General features: G+C 38.6%; 1 protein-coding gene across 20 annotated transcripts in view; it reads left to right on the forward strand.

Moving 5' to 3' along the window:
* Positions 1–18,091, forward strand: part of MYO3A (myosin IIIA) — a 278,304-nt gene that overhangs the window by 113,920 nt on the left and 146,293 nt on the right. The gene's annotated exons all lie outside the window — the stretch shown is intronic.

The raw sequence follows: 18,091 nt of genomic DNA on the forward strand, positions 1-18,091 counted from the left end.
AGAATTCAAACTGACATGCCCCTCATTCCTTACTGCCAGGAACACAGGGCTTTATCTCTGGCTGTTCAGTTGCCCTAATCTTGTTTGCTTTCCCATTTACTTCTCTAATCTCTGAAAAAAAGTATTATATTTAACAGAATTTGTAGTTTTGGAAGATTCTGATTTACTTTGCAGTTAGGTAGTATACATTTATATAAATACAGCTTGTTTTTTTTTTTTAAGCGAAAAATCTGAAGTCAAAATTTCCAATGTTTTAGCAAAAAGAAAGAAAGATAGGGAAATAAGTAAATACCTAACCGTGACAATGCCAGTCTTGGAACTAGAAATTGAAATGGAATATTATTATTTCATGTCTATTCCCACAAGGGGAACTTGTGCTATAGATTATATACATACATATATACATATGTGTGTGTGTGTGTGTGGTCTGTGTATATAAAGCCTGACAGCACCTGGGCAGCCCAGACTAAAGTATAGATGTTGTTCCCTGTCCATGAATGATAGTGTAATTCTCTTGTATTTATTCATATAGGTTTGAGGGTGGTCGTGCATTCTATTGTGGTCCTGCTAAATTTGATATGCCATTTAAATATCAAAGTAGAGTTATCAAGAAGGCAGTTGGATATAGTAGTCTGGACTTCAGGGGAGAAATCCATGTTGGAGATAATGCTTTGAGTTGTTTGCTTAAAGAAGTATTCAATGCCACGGCATTGGATGAGGTCACTGAATGTGAGTGTTAAGAAAGAAAAGTGAAAGAGGCCCAGGACAGAGCTCTGGGAAACAACAACATTTAGTCACTAGCAGAGGAGCCACAATAGGAGATTAAGGGAGTGTAGCCCTCAAGGGAGGAAGAGCAGAGAATGTGGTCTGTTGCAAGCCACGTAACCTGAGTGTTTTGGAGAGAATAGTCAACTTTGCCAAGTAGTGCTGAACATTCAAGAAAATAGTGTAACATTGAATTTGGCCCCACAGAGTTATTTAATGACCTTGACAAGAGCCACCTCTGTAGAGTGGGGTGAAGGACATATCAAGATGACATACTCATTGATATAAACACAGAGAAGGGCAGATAAACACTGTAACCTTTCCTGTATAATGCACCTCAGTCTAATCATGAGAAAACATCCAAAGAGCCTCAGTTGAAGGGTATTAACCAGGCAGTCCTAGCCAGGAGAGGTGGAGGTGAGAGACAAGGTGAGGAAGGAGAAATAGGGAATATGAACTCCTCTTTTAGGAAGCTCAGCTATGAAGGGATGAGAAATAGGGCAATAGCTGGAAAGGATAGGGGATCAAAGGAGATAATTTTAAAGATGGGAGATACTAGAGCACAGGTTGTATGCTGATGGAAGGAGGAGGTTGATGATACATATGAGAGGGGATCATTATAGCAGTGGATCCTGGAAACAGCAAGTGCACAGCAGAAAAGTTAGCCTTTGCTCAAAGCAGAGACAGTTTCTTTTCCATTAGAACCAGAAAGGAGGCAGAGTGATGCAAAGATGAAATTCTTTCTTTCTTTCTTTCTTTCTTTTTTTTTTTTTTTTTTTTTTTGAGACGGAGTCTTGCTCTGTTACCCAGGCTGGAGTGCAGTGGCGCAATCTCAGCTCACTGCCTTTGCCTTCTGGGTTCAAGCAATTCTCCTGCCTCAGCCTCCCGAGTAGCTGGGACTACAGGCACCCACCACCGCGCTCAGCTAATTTTTATATTTTTAGTAGAAATGGGGTTTCACCATGTTAGCTAGGATGGTCTCGATCTCATGACCTCGTGATCCACCCACCTCAGCCTCCCAAAGTACTGGGATTACAGGCATGAGCCACCGCACGCAGCTGAAATTCTTTCTACTTGTTTATAGTTGCTCAGTGAGGTGTGAGTTATGGTCATCAGTTGAGAGTTCTGGTACAGAGGACTGTAAAAGAAATGTCTTTTTAGTCTTTTTTTTCTAGGTTCTCCATAATGAACATGCATTACTTTTATAATTAGATAAAAGATTACAAAAATTTATATCCTTTGACCCAACAGATTTTGTTCTTTTGCCAAGGAAGAGGAAAAATATTTCTGTACAAATATATTTACGGCCTCCCAAAGTGCTGGGATTACAGGTGTGAGCCACCGCACCCAGCCATTATTTTTATACTTGGAAAAAATCAATGTAATAAAAACAATCATACACTCACCAGTGACCCATCATGCCATTTAATGATTCTTGGAAAAGGTAAACACCATCAACCTTCCTAGCCATTAACCAGATTATTTTCCTGTAATGGTGTTTGTCCCACAGAAACTTGCAGCGGCTCTGGTAATACAGCTCTATATGTTAAAGGGACTGTGCCACTCCATCTTTGCAACAAAATTCTACTTACAGAAACTGTGTTTCTTTGCTGTTTTTTTACTTGTGTCTATGCTTTTACTTGTCTCTAAGCTAAGCGTGGAGTGAAGAAAGATGTCAGGAATTCTGCAGATGGAGAATAACCATCAAATAGTCTTGCCAACACAGATATCAGATTTATTTCAACATCTAAAACTCAGGTCGCTCTATCTAAAATAATACAGAGCAGAGAGAAGTCACATTTACAGCGTAAACACGCAAAATTTCCCAGTATGACATTTTTTTTCTTTAGCCTCCAGACATCTGATTCCTTTTCAAAAGCACACAAATCCTCTCACCCAGCCCAGAGCCACCCAAAAGGGATTTCCATATGGTAGATGTTGCTTAAAATTTGCTAACAGACTTAATGAAGTTACTCCTCTTAACAGGTAGGATTGTGCCTGTTGTCCAACTCATAAATAAAGGATCATACATCACTTCTTTAGGTTGTTCCTTAGTTGTAAATCAAAATTTATACCAGAGTGTAACATATCTTTTCTTCTGTTGTTTGAATATGTAATCCGTGCATATTAAAATAGTGCACAGCTGTAGTCAGTGAAAAAGCCTTCCCACCAATGTCCCTCCACAGAGGCAGCCAGCATACCCAATTTCTTGCATATATTTCTAGAGATATTCTATTTATATATAAGCAAATAAGTGGAGCATTCATGAAAAACTTAATAAGACCCTTAAACATCACGTAATATTCTTTATCACTGTATCAAATACATGAAGGATGGTGGTCAGAAAAGCTTATAATGCCAGAAGCCACTAAAAATTGGAGATTAGAAAGAATTTAATATTTTTCTGAAATAGAAGTCTAAATGATTGGGGAAAAGACAATGCTTTAAAAATTGATTTCTATACACATCAGTTGCATTAAAGGAGACATCTAATTGGGTGAGCATATAGAAAAATACTAATCGTTGCTACTGGCTTGTAAATTTTTAATATACTAGACATTTTATGGTTTAGTTTTTTAAAATAGTTTCACTCTCCCAGTCATAAAGTATGCATTGATCTTTAATACATATATATATTATATACTATCTATAATATTATTTTATATATTAATATATAGTATATATAAAACATTATATATTAAATATAAATATATATTTAAAATTATTTTGTGACCCACAGATGATTGATAGCGGCTTGCCATCCCCCACTTCAGACTCCTCTTTTCTCCAGATTTTTTGCCTATTACAAGGTCAGCAGTTAATGGCTCATAGGTCAAATCAGGCTTGCCACCTATTTTTGTGAATGAAGTTTTATTAGAACACAGCTATGCTTATCCATTTATGTGTTGACTGTAGCTGTTTTCATGCCATAATGACAGGGTTGAGTATTTGTAACACAGGTTGTGTGGGCTGCAAAGCTGAAAATATTTATCTGATCCTTTACATAAAATGTGCCCTGGAGTAAGAAATCTTCATTATGGTAATGAATGAGCAAGAAGCATTAGAGAAAAGAAAACTCAAGAACTGATTTTAAATGTGCAATAACATTATAAGGTATAGAGTATCACATAGGAATATGCAAACTATGTATAAAATCTCTTGGATTTCAGTTATTTCATATGCTTTAGTGTCCACCTAGAAAAAAGTAGGGACACTGCTCTTATAGAGATTTAGAATAAATTAAGGGTGTGGGTACACAAGTACATACATAGCTAAACATGTACGGATTTTCATCTACTTTCATGTATCACTTTTCCAATCCCATCCTTCTTTCCAACATTGCTACAAATTTTATGAATATATATTTATCTGTGCAGCCCAGATTAAAGTACATCTTTAAAGAAGTAAATGTGAAAGAGAAAAGTCTCCAGGAATGAAGAGGGCAATTAAGACTTACTGGGGGCTTGGTCACTATGATATCTGTCACTCCAGGTATTGAGCGTTGATCCAGTGCTATGGCTCACCAGGCTGGTGTGTGCTTCCTTCTCCACCATCATTTCAAAACTACATACCAGGTCAAAGGGGTCAAACTGCAGATAAATAAAATCTAATCTCCTAGGGCACACCAGGGAGAGCCTGTACTCCCGTCGGTACTACCAATGCTGGTAGACAACGTTGGTTGTTCATGTTACTGGAATTTAAAGATGGATAAGGAAATGAATACAAAACCATTGCTTGGATTTATGTTTAACAAAAGATTGCTATTCTACCCCAGTGGCTCCTTAATCACCTTAGGTGATACAGCTTGATATTTACAAGAGTATTTTAAAGCAAAGTAAAAGCAAATAAAGCTGTTTCATTACAACAGTACAACTAAATAGTAAGGATAAAAATTTAACATCAGGCAACAATAGTTGTTTTTTTTTCAATTTTTAGAGCAGAAATACAAATAAAGCTATATTAACCACCCCTAAGGGTATTTGTGACCTTTGACAACACTGAAAGAAAATATTTATAGTCTGAAACTATGTCTCTCCAGTATTACAGAGTAAATGAAAAATATAATATGGTTAACAAGTTGTACTTTTCACAAGAGGACAAAATTCTTATAGAAGGATTCCGACTTTGCTTTTTCCAAGTCTTACAGAAAGAAAACATTGAAAAAAGTAACAAGAATGGAAAGAGTGGGAAAGTAACAAGAATGGAAAGCACTTCTATAAAACGAAGGCAAAAGGCAAATATTAAAAGTATAAAATTATCTTGAAACATATTTAATATATATATGTATGTGTGTATATACACATATACATTGAAAAGTACATATATTCTTTGTCTTAGAATATTTAATTTGTTTATAACCAGAGTGTAAAAATAAAAATACGTTTTCTTTGGTTTCACAGTAGATGAACATTTAGTAAAGGCAAACTATTCACTCAAATATATTTTGAGCATCCATCATTTGTGAGAATCTGATCTAGGAGTACAGGGTATGTCAGTCAGTGATAAAACAAAACAAAACCTGTTTTCATGGAACTTACATACTTATTGGAAGACCCAGACAATACATATAAAAAGTTTATTGAGCAGTGTAGTATATCACATGGTGATGCATGCTAAAGAAAAATAGAGCAGCTGGGCACGGTGGCTCACCCCTGTAATCCCAGCACTTTGGGAGGCCATGGAGGGCGGATCGCGAGGTCAGGAGTTCGAGACCAGTCTGGCCAACATAGTGAAACCCCGTCTCTACTAAAAACACAAAAAATTAGCCAAGTGTGGTGGTGTGTGCCTGTAATTCCAGGTACTCAAGAGGCTGAGGCAGGAGAATCACGTGAACCTGGGAGGTGACGTTTGCAGTGAGCTGAGATCGCGCCATTGCACTCCAGCCAAGGCAACAGTGTGAGACTCCGTTTCAAAAAAAGAAAAAGAAATGAAAGAAAAATAGAACAATATAAGAGGGACTGGAAGTCCTCAGGGTTGGAGGGTGGGATTACGATGTTGAAAATGGTGGTTATCCCAGACCTCGCAATCAAGAGAAGTACTTTAGGCTTGTGGCTCTTTGGGCAGAGAGAAGAGTCAGCCTTTGAGGCAGGAGTGAGCCAGGTGTTAGAGGCTCGGCCAAGAGGGATCGAGAAAGCTAGCGAGGAGTAATTGGGGACACACTGTTAGGAGATACGGTGGGAGAAGCAATGGGGTGGGTGTGGGATCAGATTATAAGAGACCTTACTTTGAGTGAGTGACATGGGAGGGTACTGACCAGATGGGTGACATTTTTGAGTTATGTTTTAAAAAGATCATTCTCACTATATGCAATAACCAAGGTCGGAAACAATGGTGGCTTAAAGATCAGTGTAGTAGCAATGGAAGTTTTGCTTTAGAAATAGACATTTATGATTTTATTAAATACTCTAGGATTTAGATGGAGAGCACAATATTGTTTAATGAAGAAATCCCACCTTTTCACCCATGTATTCAATCAGCAGTTCATGGAAAACTCTCCAAACTGTTTTTACATACGGTCCAGGTTTTCTTAGCTTCCTGCCAATATTTCTGTATTCTGTACATTTTCCATTTGCCTTTCTAGATTTTGGTAGGCTGAGTAACGACCCTCTGAGACACCTAGGTCCAATCCCTGGGATCTGTGAATATTACTTTGCCTGGCAAAAGGAACCATGCAGTTGTGATTAAGTCAAGGATCTGGAGAAGGGGAAATTATCCGGGATTAGTGGCCGGGCCCTAAATATAATCATAAGAGTCCTTATAAGACAGAGGCAAGAAGGTTAGTGAGGGAGAAAACAATATGAGTATGGAAGCAGCTGTTAAATTGATGCAGCCATGACCGAAGAATGCCTACAGCCTCCAGAAACTGGAAAAGGCAAAGCAATGATTCTCCCCTAGAGTCTCCAGAAGGAACCAGCCCTGCTGATGACACGGTGAATTTCCAGATGAAACTGATTTGGGATTTCTGGCCTGCAGAACTGTGAGAGAATAAATACTCATTGTTTTATGCCACAAGATTTGTGATAAACTTGTTATAGCAGCAATGGGAAACTAATACATAGGTCTACTTCCTGCTTCTTCACTCTGCCCTGTGCCCTGGAAAGCTGACCCTGGTGTGCTGCACCAATCAAGCACCTGCAGATTGGAAGTGACAATGGCCAGGATCTACCTAAGGCAGCAGCTTCTATCCAGTGGTGCTAACCCTAGAGCTACAGCTCTCTCTTGGCTTTTGGAAACCACTTCTTCCGCTTGCAGCTTCTGGCCAAGGGTAGTGAAAGTTGCTGTAGAGGGATCTTCACTAGCTCTTGTTTGTTTCCTTTATCAGTGCCCACACCTTCATAAAGACAGGCTCTTTATCCAGTTTCTGCTCCAGCATTTAAGGAGGTTAGAAGTTGTCACTCCATCCTAACAACCAGTGAAAACTGAACAAAATGAAAAATCAACAACTCTTAATTGGATCCATCAGAGAATAAGGTTACAGGGTAAACCACTCCCCACAGGTAGGAAAATACAGAAAATATCAGCTTATTGGAGCAGAAACATGCAAGCAGAGACATCCAAGGGAGCAATTAGTGGGGTGGGAAAATTTGAACTGTAATCGATGAATTGCTGGAGGCTCAGTCTGACAGTTAAAAACTGTAGGAGATTCCAGTCACAGGTGGCCTCCGTACTTTTATGGGTTTTACCTCCAGATTAGTCAGGTTCTCACAGTAAATTTCAGAGAAAAATCCCTTTGTGTTTACATCAGGGAGAGAGGAAAAAGTGCCATTTAAAAATATGGCAGAGCATTCTGTTCCTTTTAACATGGTTTACCCTCCTCTTGTCCTTCCTAAGGAATAGGAGGGGAGTAGAGAAGGAGGAGACTGAGGCACTTGTGAAGATCACAGTTGAAAGTCACTGTCATTAAAAGGTTGAAACCTAATCATATAACTATAGAATGCTTCCACTCCCTTATGCCTGTAGCATGTTACCAACACATGAATTAACACCTATTTATTGGAGTTACTTTTACCCAGTCTTGGCTATCAAAGAAAAATTACAAGGCATACTAACAGGCAAAAATCACAGTTTGAAGAAACAGAGCAAGCATCAGAACCATACTTAGATATGGCAGGTATGTTGAATTACCACACCAGGAATTTTTTGTAAGTCCACAGTTAATATGATAAAGGCTCTAGTGGATGAAGTAGATGACCTGCAAGGACAGATGGGCAATGTAAGTAGAGAGATGGGAATTCTGAGAAGGAATTTGAAATGTTAGAAATCAAAAGCACTGTAACATAAATGAAGAACAACCTTAATGGGCTCATTAGTAGACTGGACTCAGTGGAGAAAACAATCTCTGAGATATATCAATAGAAATGTCTGAAATGGAAAGGCAATGAGAAAAAAGATTGAAAAACTGGAATAGAAGATCTAAGAATTGTGGAATAACTAAAAAAGGTATGATATATACATAATGGGAATACCAAGAGAAGAGAGGAGGAAACAAATATTTTAAGCAACAATGACTGAGAATTTTCCAAAGTTAACGTCAAATACTAAACCACAGAACCAAGATTCTCAGAGAATGCCAGGGAGGATAAATATTTTAAAAAGATACCAAACATATCTATAGCACATGTAAATGGATAATGGCAGGGCATATGTCCCAGAGACAGTGATGATCTGCTATAAACAGAATGTAGAGAGCTTTAGTGTTGGAGGCTGAGGAAACTAGGTCAGGGGATGGCATTATTACTGAGAAATACAGATGTCCTAAATGTGTTCAAGTTCCAAATGCCCAGAAGCAAAGCGCTATCTTCCCTCACAAAATCTGAAACTCCTCTAGTATTTATCTCATTGACAGATACCATCATCTATTTAATTGTACACACCAGAAATCTCCATCTTTTTCAACTCTTATATCCACTACATCACCAAATTATATCATTTTAATCTCTTTAAAATTTCTCAAAACTCCATTTTTTCCATATCCATGAAGGAGATGATGGTGTCATTGACTGAGGTAGAGATAATTGAGGTGAGGCACAGTAAGAAGGACAGGAGGAAAAAAAAAATAGATGCCATGAAAGCTACAGAGGAGAGAATTTCAAGACAGTAGATCAATAAAGTTAAAGGACACAGAGGAACTGAATAGAATGAAATCTAAAGAGGGCAGTTGAATAGGACGATAAGAAGGTCATTTTACTTTCAAGAGGCTGATAGCAGTGCTGATGCCAGAGTTTAGTGAGTTGAGGAGTGAATGTAAATAAGGAAGGGTTCTGTGAATTAAGATTGTCCTTTGAAAAGTTGACAAGGAGATTGTTAAAATTTGAGAAAAATGCAGCAAATTGAGGAAAGGACAACTTAGGATGGTAGACTTGATCAACTGAGAATATGGACCCGGTGGAAAGGAAGCTTCTGATAGGATGATAGAGCAAGTTACACAGATAAAGAATCAATAGACAAATTAGTAGGGTTAACCCTGGAAAAAAAAGGCGATGCTTCCACCCTGGAAGTCACAGAGAAGTTGGGAGGGATGTGAAGAGGAGATACATGAAAATATACTACCATTTTGAGATAGAAGGGAAGGAACCTGAGTGAGTTTGTGTTAGTTTCCATTGAAGAAAAGGGAAAATAGATATTGGAAGCTTGAAATGTAGACATTTTTGGACAACTGCTATGTAAAATGAGCTAGGAAGTCACCCTCTGGATGGGTAAAATAATTAATGAGTAGACTTCAAGGTCCAGTGGAGGGAAAACTAAAATCTTTCAGTCGTGAGTTTTGTGACCACAAATAAGCAACACTGGAGCTGAAGAGAAGTCAATGGCTAATTGGATCTATTAGTCAGTGCCCTGGAAGCAAAAATAGCACAATCCAAAGAAGTGTGATTGAAGAGAGTTTTTGTTTTTACTTTTTATTAAAATCAACTTTATTTTTAAGAGCAGTTTAAAGTTCATAACAAAATTGAGAGGAAGGCGTAGGGACTTCCCATGTGTCCCCTTCCCCCAGGTAGGCACAGCCTTCTCCACTGTCAACATCCCACACCACAGTGGTACTTTTTTACAATTAGTGAACCTACATTGACACATCCCTATCATCCAGAGTCCACAGTTTACATTAAGATTCACTATTGGTGTTGTACATTCAATAGCTTTTGACAAATGTATAATGATAAGTATCTACAATTGTAGCATTGTACAGAATAGTTTCATTGACCTAAAAACGCTCTGTTCTCTGCCTATTCATCTCTCTGTGTCCTCTAATTTGCTGTCAATTAGTGATCTTTTTTACCATCTCCATAGTTTTGCCTTTTCTAGAATGTGATAAAGTTGGACTCATATATGTAGTTTTTTCAGATTAAGTTCTTTCACTTAGCAATATGCATTTGTATTTCTTCCATGTTTTTTTCATGGCTTGATAGCTCATTGCCTTTTAGCACTGAAAATACACTATTGTCTGAATGTACTAGAATGTATTTACCTATTTCTTCCTGAAGGACATCTTTGTTGCTTCCAGTTTTGGCAATTATGAAAAAAGCTGCTATAAATATCGATGTACAGGTTTTTGTGTGGTTTTCTACTCATTTGGGTAGAAAGAAGCACAGTAGCTGAATTGTATGGCAAGAGCATGTTTCATTTTATAAGAAACTGTCAAACTGTCTTCCAAACTGGCTGTACCATTTTTCATTCCCACCAGCAATGAATGATTGCTGTAGCTTTATAGGAAGTCTTGAAATTGCACAGTGTCAGTCCTCCAGCTTTTTCTCCTTCAATATTGGTTGCCTATTCTGGATCTTTTGACTTTCCATATAAACTTTAGAATCAGTTTGCCAATATCCACAAAATAATTTGTTTGGATTTTGCTTGGGATTGCATTGAATCTGTAAAGCAGGTTGAAAAGACCTGACATCTTGATAATATTGAGTCTTCCTATCCATGAACATAGAATATCTTTCCATTTACTTAGTTCTTGTTTTATTTTATCAGAGTTTTGTAATTTTCTTGTATGTATTTTGTTAGATTTATACTTAAGTATTTCATTGGGGGGTGCAAATGTAAGTGGTATTGTGTTTTTAATTTCCATTTTCACTTATTCATTTCTGGTATATAGGAAAGCAGTGACTTTTTTATATTAATCTTGTGTCTGAAAACCTTGCTGTAATTGCTTATTCATTCCAGGAGGTTTTTATGCTGACTCTTTCAGATTTTCAACATAAACAATTATGTCATCTGAGAACAAAGATAGTTTTATTTCTTTCTTCTCTATCAGTATACCTTTTAAGTCATTTTTTGGTCTTATTGCATTAGCTATGACTTCCACTATGATAATGAAAAGGAGTGTAGAGAGAGAACATCCTTGCTTTGTTTCTGATCTTAGCAGGAAAGCTTCTAATTTCTCATCATTATGTATTGTAACTGTAGGCTATTTTACATGTTGTTTATGAAGTTAAGGAAGCTCCCTTCTGTGGCTCATTTACTGGGAGTTTTTATCATGAAAAGAGGTTGAATTTTGTCAGATGCTTTCTCTGCATCTATTGATATGATCATGTCATTTTTACTTTTTAGCCTATTGATGTGATGAAATATATTAATTTATTTCACCCATCAGTCACCACCCCTACATACAAACACTCTTCCTCAGGTTACTGGAATCCTACTTCTACTTAAAGACCAAGATTAAATGCTAAATCTGCTAAGAACTGTATCCACTGTTCCAAAATGGAATTAATTTTCCCTCCTTGCTATTTCCACTTTATATATTACTTTAATTTTGGCATTTGCCGTATACTTTGTGTTTTTTAAAAATATTTGTGTTCACATCTCCCACTAGTTTGAAACTCATTGATTGTACAACCTGGATTTTTTTCCACATTCAGTAACCCCACAACACTTGGGAAAATGCTTGCACGTGGCAGGGTCTCAATAAATATGAGTTGGATTGAACTGCATACTTAGATTTTTATTAAAACAACAATGACACTTTGGGAGGCTGAGGCGGACGGATCACTTGAGGTCAGGAGTTTGAGACCAGCCTGGCCAAAGTGGTGAAACCTCATCTCTACTAAAAATACAAAACTTAGGCTGGGCGTGATGGCTCACGCCCGTAATCCCAGCACTTTGGGAGGCCAAGGCGGGCGGATCACCTGAAGTCAGGAGTTCCAGACCAACCTAACCAACGTAGAGAAACTCCATCTCTACTAAAAATACAAAAAATTAGCCGAGTATGGTGGCGCATGCCTGTAATCCCAGCTACTTGGGAGGCTGAGGCAGGAGAATCACTTGAACCCGGGAGGCAGAGGTTGTGGTGAGCGAAGATCATGCCATTGCACTACAGCCTGGGCAACAGGAGCGAAACTCCATCTCAATAAATAAATAAATAAATACATACATAAATAAATAAATAAATTTAAAAAATACAAAAATTAGCCTGGCATGGTGGCGGGTGCCTGTAATCCCAGTTACTCGGGATGCTGAGGCAGGAGAATCGCTTGAACCTGGAAGGCAGAGGTTGCAGTGAACCGAGATCTCCCCACTGCACTCCAACCTGGGTGACAGAGTGAGACTCCATCTCAAACAAACAAACAAACAAACAAAAGACAGTGATACAAGAATATTCTAAAGCCAATGCCCTTCCAAAATTCACAGCTCTCACTTTCCATAAATTTCCATATCAAAATATGTTTTCCTTACAATTCTAATATATGGCACTTGGCATGTAGCTAAATCTGACAAATCAATGTATGCATATTTTAAAACTTATTTAATACTGGAAACATGAAAATTAACCAGAAAAATAAGCAGTCATGATTGATTAGATATTCACTGATGTATAAAGATGATGGAAACACTTAGATGTTCTTGCGAAAAGGTAGATGGACTTACTCATTTTAAGAAATGCCCAATATTATACAAAGAAAAATGATTTAAAGCTATTTTCTATCCAAACCTCAAACATTCAGTTGGTTTCAGGCAAACATGGGTATTGAATTAAGGTAATGAAGATTCAAGACAACTTTTTATTTTTATTTTTATTTTATTTTATTTTTTTTTGAGACGGAGTCTCACTCTGTCACCCAGGCTGGAGTGCAGGGGTGCAATCTCAGCTCACTGCAAGCTCCGCCTCCTGGGTTCATGCCATTCTCCTGCCTCAGCCTCCTGAGTAGCTGGGACTACAGGCGCCTGCCACCACGCCCAGCTAATTTTTTTGTATTTTTAGTAGAGACGGGGTTTCACCGTGTTAGCCAGGATGGTCTCGATCTCCTGACCTCATGATCTACCCGCCTCAACCTCCCAAAGTGCTGGGATTACAGGTGTGAGCCACCACGCCCGGCCGACACCTTGTTTTTTGCAGCTTTGTATCAAGACATAAAAGGATGAATAACACTTGATTTCTACACACAACTTTCTCAAGGTATAGCAGGAACAATGAACATGTATAGACTTCATTAAATATGAGAACTTCTCCACTAGTGGTGTATTCTCTCTGGAAAGACCTGCAGTGTCTTCACAGAGAGGGTAATTTAAGACTAACTTTGAAGGATACGTAGAATTTTGCTGAGCATGGAAGGAAAATAATTCCAGGTAGAGAAATGGAATGAACAAAGTACAGAGTCTTGAAAATGCTTGGTATATTAAGAGCCCTTCTGTACGGAGCTGATGGAGAATAATGTTGGAAAGGTTGTTTAAGGCAAGATTGTGAAGGCCCATGAAATCCATGCCAAGAAAGTTTTAAGTTGTACCATAGAAGATAGGGAGCCATCTGAGGTTGTTTTAATCATCACAATGACCAAATCTTTTCTAAGTTTTTGACGGCTAATACCAAAAACATCATAGAAGATGAATTCACAAGAGTGGAAGAGTGAGGGCACCAACCAGCCAAGTATTGATCCCTCTGCTCCTCACCATCCACTCCCTATCGTTCTCCAGTAACAGTCTGTAGCAGCCAAATGGGTCCATAAAAACAGAAAATTCAGGGCCCTTCAATTAAATGGATAATTGGATTTCTTCCTCTTTTGTCTTAAAAAGAATATATCAAAAATGGTTATACTTATAAGAATCGCTTTGAAAATAGGGGAGTAAATGAGATGATACTTGTTCAATTCAGCAAATGTGGAGACCAACTATGTGCAAATTCCATGCCAGACGTTGTGGGGGGATATACAGTCACTTAGTCATTCAACTAAAGTTTATCGAGAAACTACACTATTCTAAACAATCTCCTTATTCATGGGATACAACAAGAAGCTAAGGGCATAGTTTTGCAGATCTTGATGCTTACATTCTAGTAAGGACTTCAAATATTAACTAAATTATCTACACAAGTGTATAATTTTTTTAAGTGGCATAAAAAATTATGGAGGAATCTTGTAATCCCAGCATTTTGGGAGGCTGAGGTGGGCAGATCACGAGGTCAGGAGATTGAGACCATCCTGGCTAACATGGTGAAACCCCATCTCTACTAAAAGTACAAAAATTAGCCATGCATGGTAGCGCGCCTGTAGTCTCAGCTACTCGGGAGGCTGAGGCAGGAGAATTGCTTGAACCCAGGAGGCAGAGGTTGCAGTGAGCCGAGATCACACCACTGCACTCTGGCCTGGCGACAGAGTGAGATGCCATCTCAAAAAAAAAAAAAAAAAATTATGGAGGAATCTAATTAAGAGTTGCAAATAGGTATAAGACACTATTTCTGTCATTAGATACTTTTTTTTAATATCAGAAACATGATTTGCAAATAGTTTCTCCCAGTCTGTGGCTTGGTTTTATTTTCTTAACAAGAAAGCAGCAAATTGAGGACTGTACACCTTAGGATGATAGAAGATGTGATCAACTGAGAATATGGATCTGTGGAAAGGAAGCTTCTGATGGCATGATACAGCAAGCTACACAGGAAAGAAAATCGAAAGACAGGTGGGGCGGGTTAACCCTGGAAAAGAAAGGTGGCACTTCCACCCTGGAAAGTGAAAAAGAAGTGTGTATGGGGGTGAGGGAATATGAGGAGAAGATAGATGAAAATATACTAACATTTTGAGATAAAAGGGAAGGAACTTGAGTGAGTTTGTATTAGCTCCCATTGAAGAAGAGGGAAAATAGATATTGGAAGCTTGAAAGGTAGACATTTTTGGACGACTGCTATCTAAAATGAGCTAGGAAGTCTCCTGCGGAGGGGTAAATAATTAATGAGTAACTCCAGGGTCCAGTGGAGGGAAAATTCTAATCTTTCATGTGTGAGTTCTGTGACCAGAAATCTGCAACACTGGAGCTGAAGAGAAGTCAATGGCTGGCTGGATCTAGTAGTCAGTGTCCTGGCAGGAAAATGACACAGTCCAAAGAAGTGTGATTGGAGAGAATTTTTTGTTTTCATATTTTATTAAAATAAACTTGCACAGTGCAGATGTTTATAATTTTAGTGAAGCCCAATTTATCAATTTTTTATTTCATGGATGATATTGTTGGTGTTGCATATAAAAACTTATTTCCAAACCCAAAGGTATCTAGATTTTTTCCTATGTTATCTTCTGGAGTTTTATGGTTTTACATTTTACATTTAGATATGTGATTTATTTTGAGTTAATATTTGTAAAAGCTGAAAGGTCAGTGTCTTGAGTCACTTTTTTTTGCATGTGAATGTCCAATTGTTCCAGCACCATATGTTGAAAAGATATTCCTATCCTAGGAAATTTACAATCTAGTAAAGGGTATAAGGCCAGCACACAAATGAATGACTGAAATGACATTTAACTAAGATATCTATCCTAAAGGATGTGTAGAATTGTGCTGAGGAGTGTAAAAGGTGACATTTAAGGTGGATTGTGAAAAGTGAATAAAGTTTTATCATACAGATTGGGCTGAGGAGGAAACAACAAGAACAAAATGACAGGTGAAGAAAGCACAGGGATGTATAGTTTAAGAAACAGAAACAAGTCCAGTTAAGCTAAAGTGTAAAAGCGTATTTTCTGGCAAATACACTGGAAAGACAGATTGTGTAATGTTATGGAAGGCCTTGAATGAGTTTCCTATAATTAGTCATTGAACAACTATTTATTGAGTGCCTACTGCATGCCAGGCACTGTTAACAGCTGCTGGGGACACAGCAGTGAACAATACAGGTACTCTGTCTTACTAGTACCATAAAATCTAGATTGGCATTATATTAATTACAATCTAATAGGAGAAGACAGAGGACAAGGTAGAATATGAGAGGTGATGAGGAAAATTGGGGGAGAAGGCAATGGCTAAAAATAGAGCAGGAAAAGGGTGATGAGAGATTCTGGAGAGAAGCCACTAATTGACAAGGGCTCACCAGGAAAAGACTCTGATTAATATAATATTGAAAGAAGCCCATGGGAAGCAAGAAAGAGCTTTACAGATACCAAAGAAAATGGCATTCCACTCAGAGGGAACAGCAAATACCAAAGCTGTGAGGTAGAAGCATGCTTAATGTGTTCAAGAAACAGCAAGGAAGCCAATGAGGTTGGAAAGAATTGAGTAGGAGGGATATTAGAAACAGATGATGTTAGAGAAATAATAGGGGTATTGAGGGAGGCACAGATGCACAAATCATATGGGCCTTGTAGGCCATGGTAAGGCATTGGATATTCCTTTGAGTAATAATGGTAAGATCAGGAACTTTGAGCAGAGTAGTGACATGATCTGACATTTTTTTTAAAGATCACTCTGGCTGCAGTGTTGGGAAGAGTGTCAGAAGGTAAAGATGGCAGCAGGCAAACCTCTTGGGAGGCTGTTGCAGCAGTGAGAAGAAATATAGTGGGGGGATGGTGGGGAGAAATGTCTAGCCCTAGATAGAATTTGATGATAGAGCTGATGGAATTTGTATACAGATTGCATGAGGGCTGTGAGAAACAGAAAAGCCAAGGATGTCTCTAACATCCTGAACAATCAGAAGAAAGGAGTCACCGTTGACTGAGATGAAGAATCATAGGAAGGAGTAGGTTTGGAGACAGAGTATTTAGGAGTGTGGTTTGGGATGTGTCTGTCTCTCCAAGTGAAATATCAAATAAGCATTTAGATGCAGAAGTCTGGAGTAGTAGTTATCAGTGAATGAGTGGTGTGTAAGGCTATGATATAAGGAAGTGAATGTAGAGAAGAAGATAACTTCAAGAACTGAAACTTGGGAGACCCCCAAAATGTAACAGAAAGATAAGGAAAAAACCGAAAAAGATACTCAGACAGAGATACCAGTGAGTTAAGGAAGAGAATCAAGAGAGACTTACAGGAAACCAAGGCAAAGGTATTCAAGAACGCCTTTGTTAAATGCGCCTGGTAGATTAGGTAAAATGAGGACTTAAAATTGACCATTGGATTTAGCAATGTAAAGGTCAATAGAGTCCTTAACAAAAGCTGCTTCCACAGAGTGTCAAGATGAAAGCCTGAAGAAACTAAGTATATGCCGAGCATGGTGGCTCACGCCTATAATCCAAGCACACTGGGAGGCCAAAGTGGGCAGATCACTTGAGGTCAGAAGTTCGAGACCAGCCTGGCCCACATGGTGAAACCCTGTCACTATTAAAAATGCAAAAAAATTAGCTGAGCGTGGTGGCCACGCCTGTAATCCCAGCCACTCGGGAAGCTGAGGCAGGAGAATCACATGAACCTGGGAGGCGGAGGTTGCAGTGAGCTGAGATCACGCCACAGCATTCCAGCCTGGGTGACAGAGCGAGACTCCATCTCCAAAAAAAAAAAAAAAAAAAAAAAAAAAAGTATACATAATTCTTTTGAGGATTTTTACTATAAAGCAAAGAAATAGAACAGCAGATGGAGGAAACTGGAAGTCAGGGGAGGCAGTTTGTTGTTGTTTGTGGGGTGGGTGATATAACAGAGAAAATTCAATGATGTAGGAATGAGAGAAAAAGCAGTGGGAGTGATGTCCTTCCCTAAATGAGAGAGGACAGAAGCTATTATAGTATACAAAAAGAGCAGTGGGCCGGGCGCGGTGGCTCACGCCTGTAATCCCAGCACTTTGGGAGGCCGAGACGGGCGGATCACGAGGTCAGGAGATCGAGACCATCCTGGCTAACACGGTGAAACCCCGTCTCTACTAAAAATACAAAAATTAGCCGGGCATGGTGGCGCGTGCCTATAGTCCCAGCTACACGGGAGGCTGAGGCTGAGGCAGGAGAATGGCGTGAACCCGGGAGGCGGAGCTTGCAGTGAGTCGAGATCGCGCCACTGCACTCCAGCCTGGGCGACAGAGCGAAACTCCGTCTCAAAAAAAAAAAAAAAAAAAAAAAGAGCAGTGGGCTTAGATAGGGGAACAGGCAGTTTATTAATAGGCTTAAATTTCTAAGCAATAAGAAACCATTACAGTTTTCTGAGTAAGTGTTAA

The sequence above is a fragment of the Homo sapiens genome, chromosome 10 (assembly GCF_000001405.40).
Source record: "Homo sapiens chromosome 10, GRCh38.p14 Primary Assembly".
In the NCBI taxonomy this organism is placed as follows: Eukaryota; Metazoa; Chordata; class Mammalia; order Primates; family Hominidae; genus Homo; species Homo sapiens.